Source organism: Homo sapiens, chromosome 17, assembly GCF_000001405.40.
Source record: "Homo sapiens chromosome 17, GRCh38.p14 Primary Assembly".
Taxonomy (NCBI): Eukaryota; Metazoa; Chordata; class Mammalia; order Primates; family Hominidae; genus Homo; species Homo sapiens.
The window spans coordinates 11,809,121-11,825,320 of NC_000017.11; the positions used below are offsets into that span (position 1 = coordinate 11,809,121).

At 40.8% G+C, this 16,200-nt stretch overlaps 1 protein-coding gene across 5 annotated transcripts in view; it reads left to right on the forward strand.

The window, feature by feature from the left end:
* Positions 1 to 16,200, forward strand: part of DNAH9 (dynein axonemal heavy chain 9) — a 371,279-nt gene that overhangs the window by 210,651 nt on the left and 144,428 nt on the right. For all 5 annotated transcript variants that reach the window (XM_011523703.3, NM_001372.4, XM_017024292.3 and 2 more), the window contains 4 exons: positions 1,126 to 1,249; positions 12,800 to 12,942; positions 13,318 to 13,479; positions 13,681 to 13,914. In XM_011523703.3, coding sequence (XP_011522005.1) covers positions 1,126 to 1,249; positions 12,800 to 12,942; positions 13,318 to 13,479; positions 13,681 to 13,914 — 663 coding nt within the window. The remainder of the gene's footprint in view (positions 1 to 1,125; positions 1,250 to 12,799; positions 12,943 to 13,317; positions 13,480 to 13,680; positions 13,915 to 16,200) is intronic.

Consider the following 16,200-nt stretch of genomic DNA (forward strand, 5'->3'; position numbering starts at 1 on the left):
GTTCAGAACTTGGCATCCTAGCCCAAAATGTCATCCATCTGCAGTTTTCAATGTATATAATTTCCTACAGGTGATTGCATTTGTGTATGTGTGTGTGTGTGTTGCCCCAGTATATTTTTTTCAACATAAGTGTTTTGCTGGAGCTAGTCATAAGAACACAAGAGGCTGGGCACAGTGGCTCATGCCTGTAATCCCAGCACTTTGGGAGGCTGAGGGGAGTGGATCACGAGGTCAGGAGATCGAAACCATCCTGGCTAACATGGTGAAACCCCATCTCTACAACAAAAATACAAAAAATTAGCCGGGCGTTGTGGCACGCACCTGTAGATGCAGCTACTTGGGAGGCTGAGGCAGGAGAATCCCTTGAACCCGAGAGGCGGAGCTTGCAGTGAGCCGAGATGGTGCCACTGCACTCCAGCCTGGGTGACAGAGCGAGAATCCATCTCAAAAAATAAAAAATAAAAAATAAAAACTACAAGACCCTGCTAGCATAAGATATATTCATCCGCCATGCTGGTAGCCCCAAGTACCTCACTCTCAGTCAAGACCAAGAGCAATGGCTTGCCTTCAGGAGCAGGTCATTCAGTTGTTTGAGTCTTACATATAAGTAAGACGTAAGACATACTTACTTATATGTAAGTAAGTCTTCCATATACGTAAGTAAGTCTTCCATATAAGTATGTAAGTCTTACATATAAGACTTGCATATAAGTAAGACACTTGTATGAGTCTTATATATGTGTAAGACAGATAAATGGGGGACCACCTTTGGGCTTTGGAAAGCTGTAACCTCTTTGCACAAAGCAGGAGCTCCAGAAGCTTTACCCTAAAGCCTAATTTCTAAATCAGTGTAAGAGAGGTACAGGAGCTAGCATGGTTGTATGAATTAGAGGCCATTGCTATGTAATTTCTCTTGCCCACCTTTATTGGCACCAAAGCCTGGGAATGAGGCATAGTTTCCTGCCTGTCAGTGCAAGATAGCCCTCCCCCAGCTTCCCATTGTCACCTTACTTTAATTCCCATTCAAGCAGAGAAGAAAACGGTTCCATTTCTAAAGAATGGGTTGGAGTTCTCTTTCAAGGAGGCCTTCTTTTCAGAGATTTCTGATATTGACCATTCCTACAGATGGACCTGGCCAGCCTGTGTCTGAAAGCTGGAGTGAAGAATCTCAACACAGTGTTTCTCATGACTGATGCCCAAGTGGCTGATGAGAGGTTCCTTGTGCTCATCAATGATCTTTTGGCATCTGGTAAGAGATTCCTTGCACTTGGTGTCACTGATAAATTCCCCCTGGAATCAGAGTTATACAAAGGTGAAGATTTCGTCCAGGGTGGGAAGAGTAAGGTCATAGTAATGAGGAAGAAAACTGACACAGCCAAGGACTGGTTCATTGAGGTCCTTCTCAGCATTGATGCTGGGCCTGCTATCCTGGCTCTTTCATTCTTATTTCATTGCAAAACAGACAGTAATCGTGGAGCTCTCTTAGTGGGACTAGACCTGATGATGGGAAGAAGAGAGGGTTAAGAGCTTGGTGATGTGCTGTGGAGAGAAGGTGCTGTTCCCTCTCTGTATCCAAATCAAAGAGAAACTAGAATGTGTGTAGTACTTGAGGAAGCTCAGGCATTGGCAGGAAGATACACAAAAAGAGAGCATGAGCATGCACGCGTAAAACTTACACAGTAGGGCAAGATGAGGTTACCAATGTAATTAACTAGTGATTTACAACCTCATGAGAGCAAAGTGGAAGTTCCACATAGTTTTCCTTGGTCCCCAAAAAACTTGACAGAGAGTGTGAAGTGGCCTGTGACGCTGTCTGTGCAAGATAGGACTTCAATGGAAAGCTCAATGCTTGCTATTGCTATTTTATTGTCCTTCTTTATTTAGGAATTCAGTACGTATACCAACAATCCCCCACAAAGTGAAAACTCACGTCTGTAATCCCAGCACTTTGGGAGGCCAAGGTGGGTGGCTCACCTGAGGTCAGTAGTTCAAGACTAGCCTGGCCAGAATGGTGAAATGCCATCTCTACTAAAAATACAAAAATTAGCTGTGTGTGGTGGTGTGCACCTGTAGTCCCAGCTACTTGGGAGGCTGAGGCAGGAGAATCGCTTGAACCTGGAAGGCGGAGGTTGCAGTGAGCTGAGATCATGCCACCGCACTCCAGCCTGGGCGACAGAGCGAGACTCCGTCTCAATTTAAAAAAAAAAAAAGAAAAAGGTTATAAAACGAGATAAAGAGGCAGGGAGAAGAGATCAGTATGCTGGATCCCATCCTCTGACCTATTCTCTTGATGTAAGTTGGGTCTGTCTCCCCAGCTCTCTTATCCAGGGCAGTGGCAGCTCTACCGTAATTACTTTACAAACTCTCATGCCCCCAACCAGAGATATGGAGGCCATAGGTAACTGATAGTGGAACCTGGTGGTCACATCCCTGCTGTTGACCCAGCATTCAGCTGACTCTTCCTCCTTTCAGTCTCATCACTCCAACCTCAGCTGTCCATCACCCCAGAGTGGGTATGACCTGGTTTATCTGTCTTACCCATCATTGCTTTTTATATTTCCTACCTCGTCTCTACCTAGGACGAAGTCTTTCATATTTGGAGAAATCCCAATAATCTGGCAATAAGCATCTTCCGTCAAAGGTATATTGTTCCTGGACACTGTTACAGATATGCTCTGTCCTGCTCAGAACCAATATCTCCAATGCTCTTCTGATGCAAGCGCGAGACTGAGACTGCAAAAGGCCTGTAATCCCAGCTACTTGGGAGGGTGAGGCAGGAGAATCACTTGAACCAGGGAGATACAGGTTGCAGTGAGCTGAGATCATGCCACTGCACTCCAGTCTGGGTGACTGAGTGAGACTCTGTCTCAAAAAAAAAAAAAAAAAAAAAAAAAAAAAAAAAAAAAATATATATATATATATATATATATATATACACATACATACACACATACATCCAAGAATATAAGACAATATAATGCATAAATTATGCATTTATATAAATATGTGCATGTTTATATTAAAGAAAGAATACGCTTTCTTGGCTCTTAAACCAAATGCAGCATCTACAAAACCACCTCTTCATCTCAATTGAGAAAACAGTCAGTGTACAAATGTTCCTGAACAAAATTTCTGCCTCCAGACTTCCAGCATCTCAAAAGCCTTCTCTCTCTCCACACTCCATTCCCTGGCTCTGATTAAATAATGTTTAGTTTATAAGGTCCAAGGACCATGGTCACAAGTACCTTTCTCCATAGTCTATCTAGTATATATAGATATAGTAGTATATAGTCTATCTACTATATATTGTAAGTAATATATTTTAGGATAGTTCCTGACAACCTCCAGGAAGTTCCTGGCTTTGGAATCATTGTCTGCTTCATATTTTGTGGCATTGCACCCCATGCCATCATGCTGTCATTTTCATGAAGAGCCACTGGTCCCTGGTCCAGAGCATGTACTAGCAGGCATTGTGAGCAACCTTTGGCTTCTTTCAGGTGAGATCGATGTCCCAGGTTTCCTCACTGTGCTGGCTGCTAGCCTTGCACTCATACCACCCTCATTCCCTTCCCTCCCTGCCCTGTTCAAGTTAGCTTTATATCAGAGAGTTTGCCTACCAACTCTTACACCTTTTCTCCTCCAATGCCACAATTTTTTCCTTTCTTAAATGCAATCTCTTTAACATCTCATCACCTTCTGCAATAGTGTTTAATCTACAACATAGCCTCATCTTTTATTATTTTACTAAATAATGAGAGAAGGATCCAACTTCCCTCCTACCCCAAAGCTACCCTAAAGCCTAATTTCAAAATCAGTCTGAGAGAATACAGCTTTAGAGATGTCGGGCGTGTTGCCAGCCTCACACCATTGTATTTCAATTGGCTCTAATCCAGCCAGGTCACCTTTTCCTAAAATAACATCTGAGACACAGAGTTGTCACATTTTTACCAATTGAAATTTTATTCCTCAATTAAGTATTGATAATTTTTCATTTAGAACACAACTTTTTTTCAAGTGCAAACGAATTTCTAAAGCCCTCCCAGTGAAAATGCAATCAGCCGGTTCCAAAGTCATGGAGTTTTAGGCCCCATTTTAAGGCTTCTATATATTCTTTAAGGAAAAAAAAAAAGGTAAAATTTGTGTATACATATTCAAGTGGAGATACAGTTAAGATGAACACTTTTGTCTTCTAACCCACCCCCTTTTTTTCTTAACCATTTCAACAGGGAGAATTAGAGTATATCTTGGTTCTAATTTTCCCTATCAAATAAGTAATTTCTGGCCAGAAAGTAACCGACTGCCAGTTCAGCCAAAGCTGCGGGGATGACGCAGAACCTCATTATCTCCCAACTTTTTCAACTTTGTGGGGTTATGCAATGACTCCACCCTTGGATAACATAGTAGGGACTAGGAAACCATAACTTAGACAACCTTGCAATTCACTCATCCCTCTGTAGTTATGTACAAGTCCTACGAGGTTGGATATAAAGGTATAGTGAATGCAGTTCTCTCCCAAAAACATCTCCCTTGGAAAACCAATGATCTCATGCCCTGGGCGGAGTTTCCTCTCACACTTCTTTATCTCACCATTTCATTTCTTGTTTTCCTGACACCATTTCTAAAATCAAACCATGATAGTAATTTGGCTTATGAATCTACTTCTGACACGAACTACAGCATTTCAGAACCCATCTTTATGCCAGTTGTATCTCAGATGGATTATAGATGGACATGAAGAAATCTTACACACAAAGCAAAAATATTAAATTAGGTTCCTGGTTTAATTAGCAAAAGATACATAACTGTATAAGAACTAGAGTGGCTGCCCAGGGTAAGAGCAGATGAACCACATATTTGAGTCACTTCCCTTGGCTGCTGGGGTCCTTGATAGGGGTCATGCAACTGCTGGTGAAACTGTGCATGAAATGTGAGTCCTTGCTGGATCTGAAAGGTTCATTACTGGCTATGTTCTTATTGACCTGCTATAATAATTCCTGAGGAATGTGCACTGATCATCAAACCCAGGCATTTAAGGAATTCTTACAAAACTTGTTCTCTTTTTGACCTTCACTTAAACTCAACTTCAGCAAGTCCCCACTCTAATTTAGAGGGAAAAAAAATCAGAATTATTCCCTGGCTTTCCAGGAAAACACCTCTTCCTCCAGCTTTCCAGCCTTCCAGAAGGCCCATTTTACTCTGGTGCCCCTGCCAGTTAGCACTAACCAGCTAAGAAAACCTAGTCAGCTCCAAGTGTGATGTTTCTTCCACCCCTAGCTATGACAGATTTTGTATTTTATTTTATTTTGGAATCCTATGTTAGGATTTTCCTTTTGCTTTCCAAAAGGCTGAATTGTTTTATTCAAAATTATAATTCATTTTCCTGTCCCAGGCTAGATGACTTTCTATGTATTCATATATTCAATAATCATTTACTAAGTGTGCATGCTCAGTCACTAGGTACTGTGCTCAAAGATGAATAACATGTAACCTCTGTGCAGTCTCATGGAAGAGTTTATAACCAATGGGGTCCCTCTCTTCTAAAGTCATATTCTTCTTTATCTCTAAACCAAACTGTTCTTTTTATATATCTGTGGGCCAAATCTCCTCTTAGGATCTAGAACATAAAAAGATCCACCTCATATCCTAGGTGCTTTAGGATTAGAGCTAGGGTTGACATGTTAGTGTTCAACACACATCCTATGAGAATGCAGAGCCCGGAAGTGTTTATAACAGACTTGGCATTGGATTGTTCTCCTCTGGTGGCCGTCTGGAACTGGACTTCCTGAGGAGCCATCTATGCTGTTAAATAAATTGAATTCTGGCCCAGTTTCCCTAGAAAGAAAAAAAAAACAATAAAGTTGGGGCAAAAAAGCAACCATCAAGCATGCACTGATCCTCTAAGACATACTTAGTGGACTCATTAGATCTGCTCACTGGCTGTGCCCTCAAACCACAGACAGTGGAACTTTAAACCAGGACCGGTTTGGTTCTCCAGCTGCAAAACAGAAACTCCCAAAGAGCAATGCAAAAAGAAGCATGAGCAATCAGACTTTTCTTTTCCTTTTGTGGTAATAAACTGTTTTTTTTTTTCTTGTGGAACTGAAGTCCTATACAAGTTACTCAAGAGACTTTGTGTTCTGTGGATTCCCTATATTGCTAACCTCTCCCTTACCACCTATGTCCAAGAGATAATCTATTGCCACCAATTTTCCCCTTATCTATTTCTGAATCCGTATCTTCTCTATCCTCACTACCACTGGTTTTGCCTTCTTTTGCCTTGACAAACGCCAACACTCCTTAACTTATCTCTCTACTTCCCATGCTATCCCCACTCCAATCCATTCTCCTCACTCCTTGCAAAAGGGTCTATCTCAACTATAATTCCTGGCCAGGAGCAGTGGCTTACACCTGTAATCCCAGCACTTTGGGAGGCCAAGATGGGCGGGTCACTTGAGCCCCAGAGTTCAAGGCCAACCTGGGCAACATGGCAAAACCTTATCTCTATGAAAAGTACAAAGAGTATCGGGGCTTGATGGAGCGCACCTCAGGTCCCAGCAACTCGGGAGGCTAAGGTGGGAAGATCGCTTGTGCCCAGGAGCTTGAGGCTGCAATGAGTTGTGATTGTGCCATTGCAATCCAGCCTGGCTGACAGAGCAAGACCATGTCTCCAAAAAAAGAAAAAAGAAAACAAACAAACAAAAACACTGTAATTTTTTTATTAGTTCCCAACTGGTTGCAGAATGAACTCCAAGCTTCTTTGTCCTGTTTCCTTCCTTCCTTGCTAGTCTCACTTCCCATCTTGTGATCTAGTGATTCCTAATTCCTTAAGGTAACACACTGTGCTACTTGCTGACATCCTTAATTGCTTATGCTGTTCCTTTTGAACCTCATGCCCTTCTTTGTCTGGATTAACTTCTACCCACAGTAGAAGACTTACCTTAGGCGTTCCCTCTCTAGAAAATCTAGAGACAGATCCACTGTCACTCTTAGGAATGAGTTCCCCATATTCCTACAGCACTCGATAGCTGCACGTACCACCACTGTATTGAAACGAGATTGTAAATTTATGAAAGGGAGAGACCATTGTGTTTGCTGTTGATTAATTTACGTTATTGAACAATCCAGAAATACAAAAAAAAGAAGGATTAAATGGCTACTTCTCAGTTTAGGAAATACAGCAACACTGATATATACCTATTACTCTGTGCAGAGTCTTGTTTTTCATCGTTTATACGGTCAGCTCTTAATACATCTCCCAGCCCATAATTGACATTTAGGAGGTACTTCTTTAAGTAAAGTAAGTAACAGCATGAGAATGATGTGCCATTAAATACTACTATTGGACATGTGCTTTGGAAAGTTTTCCAGCAGTGAAGACAAAGGGACAGAGTACTGAAATAGCCACCACACTCACTTGCGTTTTCTCCTTTAAGAATAGGGAAATTTTTTTTTAAACTATCAGGTCTAGATAGGGTCAAAGTCCTCACACCAGTGTGAAGTTTAGAATCTAGCCCTTAGCTTCACCCTTTTTATCACCAAAGTCCAACTAACTAAACCACGTTAAATTATCAGGATCTCTTTCCTGAAAAGCAGCTGTGGCCTTTAAGGAGTCCCATACTAACATACAGAAGATGGCAGAAGATGGTGAATAGTCTGGCTTCCAAACTATTAGAATATTTCAATACTATTTCTAACTCCAAGTACTGCATGAAGCCTGAAAGTACTTGGAGTTACAAATAGTGTTTCCCAACTTTCGGTGAAACCTCGTATCTACTACAAATACAAAAAATTAGCCGGGTGTGGTGGCAGGCACCTGTAATCCCAGCTACTCTGGAGGCTGAGGCAGGAGAATGGCGTGAACCCAGGAGGCAGAGCTTGCAGTGAGCCGAGATCGCGCCACTGCATTCCAGCCTGGGTGGCAGAGCGAGCCGTCTCAAAAAAAAAAATAATAATAATAATGTTTCCGAACTTTAGGTCTCAGGAGGAAACTTCTCAAATATTTAAATAGCCTCTGCCCCTGTTCACATCACAAAATCCCCTCTGGCAGTTCAGTTTCCTGCTTCCAGCATGACTACCTACATCACAAAACAAGTGACGAGAATATTGTCAAGAAGGAATTATAGGAACAAATATGAAAATGCAAATTTTGTTCCCTATTCAGAGGTGTTTATCTCCAGATATTCCATCCGATGGTCTTCTTCTTAAAGGTTCTAGGGATCTTGGATATTGTGACAAATACCACCATCATTTGAGCACGGAAAATGTCTCTAAGTGGCCCAGGTGCTTTCAACGTCTTGGAATTAAGAGTATTAATAAACCAGGGTCATCAAGTTTTTTCTATAAAGTGTCAGGAAGTAAACATTTTAGGCTTTGCATATCATACAGTCTCTGTCACAAATACTCAGCTCTGTCCTTGTAGGGCAAAAATAGCCATAGATAATACCTAATGATCATGGCTATGGTCAATTAAATCTTATTTATGAACAATAAAATTTGAACTTCACATAATTTCCACATTCCATTAAATATTATTATTTAAACTTTCAACACATGCTAAATATTTTATTTTCTTAGCGGTTTTCCTTCACTCCTATTTTTATCAGAAGAGGCTGAAATGAGTCATTCTATTAGTAAGATCTTGATTTTGACAAATTATAGTACAGGAATTTTATATGCATGTCATTAACTATCTCAAAGAATAGAAATTAAATAAGTTGGTACAATTAAGAGAAAACAGTAAATGATCACTTTCATGATAATTCATTTTTTTATTTCAACCTTTTAAATGATAAAAGCTAATTAGTATGAAACTCTTAGTAGACTCCTAATTGGTTTAGTGCTATCAAACCATGAAGTCCGTAATTTGCTGGAAAGTTGGCATGAGTTTCCTCCAGATACAGTAGTTCAAGAAAGTGCAGCAGCTTCAATGACTGATACAATCACAATTACTCACACTCTGATTATTACTGATCATTTGCCAGACCACTCACTTTGAGGACCTCACCAAAGTCCATAAGAAAGTGGGATGGGCCGGGCGTGGTGGCTCACGCCTATAATCCCAGCACTTTGGGAGGCCGAGGCAGGCGGATCACAAGGTCAGGAGATCGAGACCATCCTGGCCAATATGGTGAAACCCCGTCTGTACTAAAAATACGAAAATTAGCTGGGCATGGTGGTGTGCACCTGTAGTCCCAGCTACCTGGGAGGCTGATGCAGGAGAATCGCTTGAACCTGGGAGGCAGAGGTTGCAGTGAGCCAAGATCATGCCACTGCACTCCAGCCTGGTGACAGAGCAAGACTCCGTATTTAAAAAAAAAAAAAAGAAGAGAAAAGAAAGTGGGATATAAGATGGCCCAAATGACTTCTTTCATCACTAACATTCCTATGATGCTAACATTTCTGTCAGTTACAGAAGAAGGTAAAAGCATGTGTGAACAGCTTTTAAAAAAAATTTTACAAAAGCATCATGTTGGTGGAAAACAACTTTAAAGAAGAGCTTGTATATGATTCCAGTCCCAGATAACTTCAACAGCTACCTAAAGACTTGTTCTAGAAATGGGAAAATTTTGTTTTTCTGATACCCATTGCTTTTCTGGAGTGAACCACATTCACCTTTACATCATATCCATTGTTTTCAACTTTTTAGCTATAGTGTTTCGTTCATTCTTACCTCCCTCAGTCTCATCTTTTTCATTGAGAAAACTGATGTCATTTAGTTTGGGCCTCACAGCTACTTTATACATCACAGTCTGTCTCCATTATTACTATTATTATTATTATTATTATTATTATTTGCAGTTTTCTCTTTTCCTCCATTATTACCATTCCTCCTTTCCAAGGTCAACTTTTCGTCTGAGCTAGGAGCCCGCCCCTACTTCCTAATTCAGAATTTTATTCTATTCCATCTTTTCTTTCAATTTCTGACTCTCCCTCTTCTCTGATTTCAAACATAGCCCATTATCTCCATCCTGAACGTTTTTTAATTAACTTTCTTTGACTTGAAGTGACAGCCAAGCAATAATCCTAGAACCTTCCCCAGACAAAATTCTCAAAAGAATACAATTTATTTCCTTGCGAAACAATTTGGACAATTGTTTTTATATAGTGATCTAATTATATATTTAGAAATATTGAGTTCATGGAGGGATGATGAGGTATCACCGCTTTCCCAAAAATGCAGTTTCAATAAGAAATCAAATGGGTTTCTTTCTTAATTCTGACAAATATTTTAGGATATATTTTTTATCAATATTGAATTATCTTAACATAACTTATTAATTAGTCCAGCCCTTGTCTGCCTCCTGATTTTTTTTTTGAGACGAAGTCTTGCTCTGAAGCGCAGGCTGGAGTGCAGTGGCGCAATCTCGGCTCACTGCAACCTCCACCTCCTGGGTTCAAGCGATTCTTCTGTCTCAGCCTTCTGAATAGCTGAGACTACAGGTGCACACCACCATGCCCAGCTAATTGGCCAAGCAGGTCTCGAACTCCTGACCTTGTGATCCGCCTGCCTTGGCCTCCCAAAGTCCCTGCCTCCTGATTTTTAATATCAATTTCCTAAAATTTTTATGGAAAAGCAAAGAATGAAAAATGGCAATGTTGAGAAAGAACCAGAAAGAGTGATTTGTTCCACTGGAAATCAAGTCTCCTTATGAAGCTATCTTAGTTAAAACAATGTGAAATTGACACAATTTGGACATGACTAAAAGCAATAAAACAAACAACTTGTGAATATTCTCTTAGATTTTCTATGTAGAAAATTAGGTTTTGAACAATAATAGTTTTATTACATCCTTAACCTTAAACATTTTATTTTATTTTTTCTTAATTTTTTGCACGGTTTGGGGCCTCCTATATAATGATAACAAGAAAACACAATAGCAATCATTTTTTGTCATATTCTTGATTTGAAAGAGAATATTTTAGTATTTTACTACTAGGTATGTTTGCTGTGGGTTTGGGGGTGATATCTATTATTAAAGAGAAATCTCATTTATTCCTAGTTTGCTAACAGTCTTTAGAAACCTTATGCATCCATTTCAATGTCATATTGTTTTACTTCGTTAATCAATTAATGTACTAAATTATTTTCATAGTTTTTTTTCTAGTGTTTATCCTTGCATTTCCGGGACAGGGTTTACACTTGGTCATCATATACTAATTTATACATATTTAGTTGGGATTTTTTAAATTGTTATTCATCAGGGAGATTGAGCATTTAATTTTACTTTCACATATTGTCTCATTAATACAGTGTTTTCATTTAACTTTCAGATTTTTGCCAATCTGATAAAAAAAAAATAAGGTGTAGTTTTAATATACATTTTCATTAAGAGTAAGATTGACTGTCCTTGTTCGTTAACCTCATTTCTACAAACAAAAAGTAACTAAGCATAGTTTTGATATACATTTCTGTTCTTATGAGTGAGGTGAAGCATCTATTAATATATTCAACAGAAATTTTTATTTCCTTCACCATGAACTTTCTTTTCCTCTCCTTCACCCCATCTATCTATTGAATTATTGATTTTTTTCTTTATTTGTAGAGAATTTCTTTACATACTAAGATTAACCACTTTACTATAATCTGAGTTAACATATTTTCTTAGTTTGTTCTTTGTATTTTGCTATCATTGCTATACTTTGCCTGTGATATTTTCATCATGAAATATTTTTATTTTTATGCAGTCAAATTTGTCAATTTTATGCATTCATGAAATTTATTTTTCTTTTAACACAGGTTGATTCAGATAGAGTTAGAAAATCCTTCCCCACTCAGAGATTATTTCCCCCATTTTTTCTCTTATTTCCCTGCATTTTTTATAGTTAAATCATTGATTCAGTTGGCATTTACTTTAGTGTGCTGTATAAGATCAAGATCTGGCCAGGCGCAGTGGCTCATGCCTATAATCCCAGCACTTTGGGAGGCCGAGGCGGGTGGATCACCTGAGGTCGGGAGTTCGAGACCAAGCCTGACTAACATGGTGAAATTCTATCTCTACTAAAAATACAAAAAAAATTAGCCGGGCATGGTGGCGCATGCCTGTAATCCCAGCTACTCAGGAGGCTGAGGCAGGAGAATCACTTGAACCTGCGAGGTGGAGGTTGCAGTGAGCCAAGATCACACCACTGCACTCCAGTCTGGGCAACAGGAGCAAAACTCTATCTCAAAAAAAAAAAAAAAAAAAAATCAACATCTAACCATAATTTTTTCAGATCCCAGTTTTCCTAATGCAGTACCATATATTGAAGTTAATCTTTTCCCGGTTGATTTAAGGCGTCCTGCTTATCATGTACTAAATTCCATGAAGCCATTCTGCTTTCTCCCCTTTTTCTCTCATAAACAGTGATAGCTTGCTCTTTTTAAATATATGGACCTATCTGTATGTTTGTTATGGCCCTTTTTGCCGGGGGTCTTTTAGGTATTTTGGATCCTATTAGCCATGTTTCCTGCTAAATATTAAACTCCTGGAGGGCACAATACAAAAAGGGCAAAAAATACAGTAGATGGGAAACAAATGCTTTGAGCAAAAGAAAAAAAGACTGTTGAAGGCTCTTGTGTTACCAACTGTCTACCCCAGGACAAGAGGGTACCCTACACTCTGTTCCAATCATTAACATACTCGTTCTTCTGCCCTGGGTTTGGAGTAGACATGGTGTCTGTCCAGCTTCACCAGCAAGAGAGTTGGTACATGGCCTAAAAACCACTGACCTGTGTCCTAAGGTAGGATAACTTCCCATGTCTGATTGCATCATTTAACGAGATGCCAAGGCTGCCTATCTGTGCTCCATTTTTTCCCAGGGGAGATCCCAGATCTCTACTCTGATGATGAAGTTGAAAACATCATAAGCAATGTGAGGAATGAAGTCAAGAGCCAGGGTCTGGTTGACAACAGAGAGAACTGTTGGAAGTTCTTTATAGATCGGATCCGGCGACAGCTGAAGGTAAAGAGCATTTACTGACAGGGGCAGGCAGAGACCCGAGATGATTCATGGGAGCTTCCACTGATATTTCGGGCACAACTGTCCTTATTGATTGTCTAGAGTAGGTGGTGAGTGTGCGGCACCCTTCTCAGCCTGAGCACAGTTGCCAGGACACCCTTCTCATCTGCTTTAAGGGCAGCAGCATCCCTTGTGGATCACGCAGTCCCAGCGTTTTTGATCTCTTGGCTGGTGAGGCTGGCTAGCATTTACAGATATTATCTCTGTTGGATGTGCTTCCCAATCTTCTGGGAGCTAGAGAACCCAAGGCCATATCTGCCTCTCCGTGAGTATTTCTCTGATGCCTTCCTGGTTCTCCCCACCCTTCTGACTTCTCAGGTGACTCTCTGTTTCTCCCCTGTGGGAAACAAGCTAAGAGTCCGCAGCAGGAAGTTCCCAGCCATTGTGAACTGCACAGCCATCCACTGGTTCCACGAGTGGCCTCAGCAAGCATTGGAGTCTGTCAGCCTCCGCTTCTTGCAGAACACAGAGGGCATTGAGGTGAGAGAGAAAAGGAGACACTCCTAAAAGTCCTTCCCAGATGAGGGTACAATGAATTCCCTGTCCAGGATGTTAGGGTTAAAGATCAAGCTTGAAGCATAAGTTTCCACATGGTGGAGGAATGGCTGGGGTGAGGGGTGAGCAGTTGCCTCCAATCTTCAACACAAGATAATCTTTTCATTTCTTGCTCTTTGGTTTTAGCCCACAGTAAAGCAGTCGATTAGCAAATTCATGGCCTTTGTCCACACAAGTGTCAACCAAACATCCCAGTCTTATCTGAGCAATGAACAGCGCTACAACTATACAACTCCCAAGTCCTTTCTGGAGTTCATCAGACTCTACCAGAGCTTGTTGCACAGGCACAGAAAAGAGCTCAAGTGCAAGACAGAGCGGTTGGAGAACGGGCTGCTGAAGCTGCATAGCACCTCTGCCCAGGTGAGCAATGTCCCGCTCCTTCCACCTGCAGGGGACTTGGAGGGAGCTGAAGCAGCCCTTTCCAGTGAACTGGAGGGATCACAATCAAGATCTGAAAAATATGTACGGTTTTCCAGAGACTCCCATGTCATCAGTATCTATTATGTTCTCGTGTGTTGCTTTCATCCCTTTGGCTTTTTTTCTCTACATTGTAGGAGAGCTTTTCAAGTTTATCCTTGTCCATAGTAACAGTATCCTCACCATCAGAAACAGTACCAAAAGTTCAGGCTGAGTTCCCCAGCAGAAGTGCATATGCCCCGCTCAGGTCTGATCCATCCGCTCTCATTGATGCTGGAATCCCCTGAAGCACCTCTTCCCTCTTCCTCTTTGCAATTTCTTCGTTTTCCTCTCCAATTCACTTCCCTTCCATCCTCAAAACCAAAAGAAATGAATGGTGAAAGGAAATGGGGAATGGCTGCAGGGTTATACTATTTTTGTTTGTTTTGTCTTACTCTGTTATTTGTCAAAGAGCCATTGGAACCTCAATTTTTCAAAAAGCCCTGTCTCATTTCATGCATCTCTAAGTAGTCATCTATCTCTATCTGAGTAGTTGGCCATGGAAAGAAGGCCCCTGTCGGCCGGGCACGGTGGCTCACGCCTGTAATCCCAGCACTGTGGGAGGTCGAGGCTGGTGGATCACGAGGTCAGGAGATCGAGACCATCCTGGCCAACATGGTGAAACTCCATCTCTACTAAAAATACAAAAATTAGCTGGGCATGGTGGCGGGTGCCTGTAGTCCCAGCCACTCAGGAGGCTGAGGCAGGAAAATCACTTGAACCCAGGTGGCGGAGATTGCAGTGAGCCGAGATTGCACCACTGCCGTCCAGCCTGGGTGATAGAGTGAGACTCCATCTCAAAAAAAAAAAAAGAAAGAAAAAAAGAAAGAAAGAAATCCCCTGTCATCCTGTCCTTGTTATGTTTTTCTGTTTACTTCTCCAAATGGAACAGGTTTATTTCAGTCAATTTGCTCATCTTCCCTTGGGAGTTGGGGCCAACTCTTGCAGCTGCTTCGCCTCTGCTCACGCCCATCAAATACTGCCTCTTTGATGACCCCTTTCTATTTTCTCTTCTCCAGCAGCAGAGCCAGCCTCTCATTAAGGTGGCGAAATTTCATGAATTTGCACAATTAAACTAAAATTGTGATCCACCTAATTCTTGGACATCATGTGTTCCTGTAGTTATCTGAGCCTTTCATTTTGCCTTTGGAATTGTTCTATTGAACTTTCTCCTTTTGACTTGTCCTTTTGCCCCTCTTCAATTTCTTGATTCAGAAGTATTAAATGTACCTAAAGGATTTAAGTTCATTTAGTGGGATGCAGTGAGCCCTCGCAATCTGTACACATAGATTTTCTTCTGCTCAGGAAGTGGTCCTTCTGTGATATGATTTCACTCGTCAGATCTGGTCTCTCCTCTGGGAGCAATAGTCAGTTGGATGGGGTCCCTGTGCCCCATATCTGTTATGTTCTCATGTGTTGCTTTCATCCTGTTGGCTTTTTTCTCTAAATTGTAGGAGAGCTTTTCAAGTTTACCCTCACCAATACTAATTTAATAGTGTGTAATATTGCTTCTTCTTCTTAGGCTTGCAATAAAGACTTTAATTATGCCATTGAATTTTTAATTTCCTAACAACCCTTTCGCATTTTATCCTTTTCTTTTTTCGGTGCATCCTATTACTATTTTATTTTGGCCTGTTTTTCTGCTACAGTTTCACAGAAACTGTCCTACTGATAATGCCAAACAGGTTCCTCCATGTTTTTTCTAGGTCTGGTAATGGATCGTTTTCAGTACTGTCTTCTCCTTCTCCTTCTCCTTCTCCTCCTCCTTCTCCTCTTCCTCCTCCTCCTCCTCCCCCTCCTTCTTCTTTTTCCATGCTATTCCATTCTTTGCTCTGTGGTTTTATATAGACCTTTTTTTTTCTTTATTTACCTTCAGGAAACATGAGATCACTTCAAACTCAACGTTTGCCAACAAATGGCATGTGCAAATTATCTGTGATACCCCTGTCTTTCCCTTTGTATGATGACGAAAACCTCTTCTTAGGATTCCAGTTCAGGGCATCGTAAGCTACACAGATCCCAGTCTAGGTCCTAGGAGTTTACCTTTGCTATAGAAAGGTAACATCTTTTCTCCTGATCACTTTCTGTTTGTTTCAATCTCTGAATCTGTAGCAAACAGCATAGAATACAATCTCAGAATGCAGTACTACCAGATTTTTAAAAACATCTTCCACCTCCCCATTGTGCTTC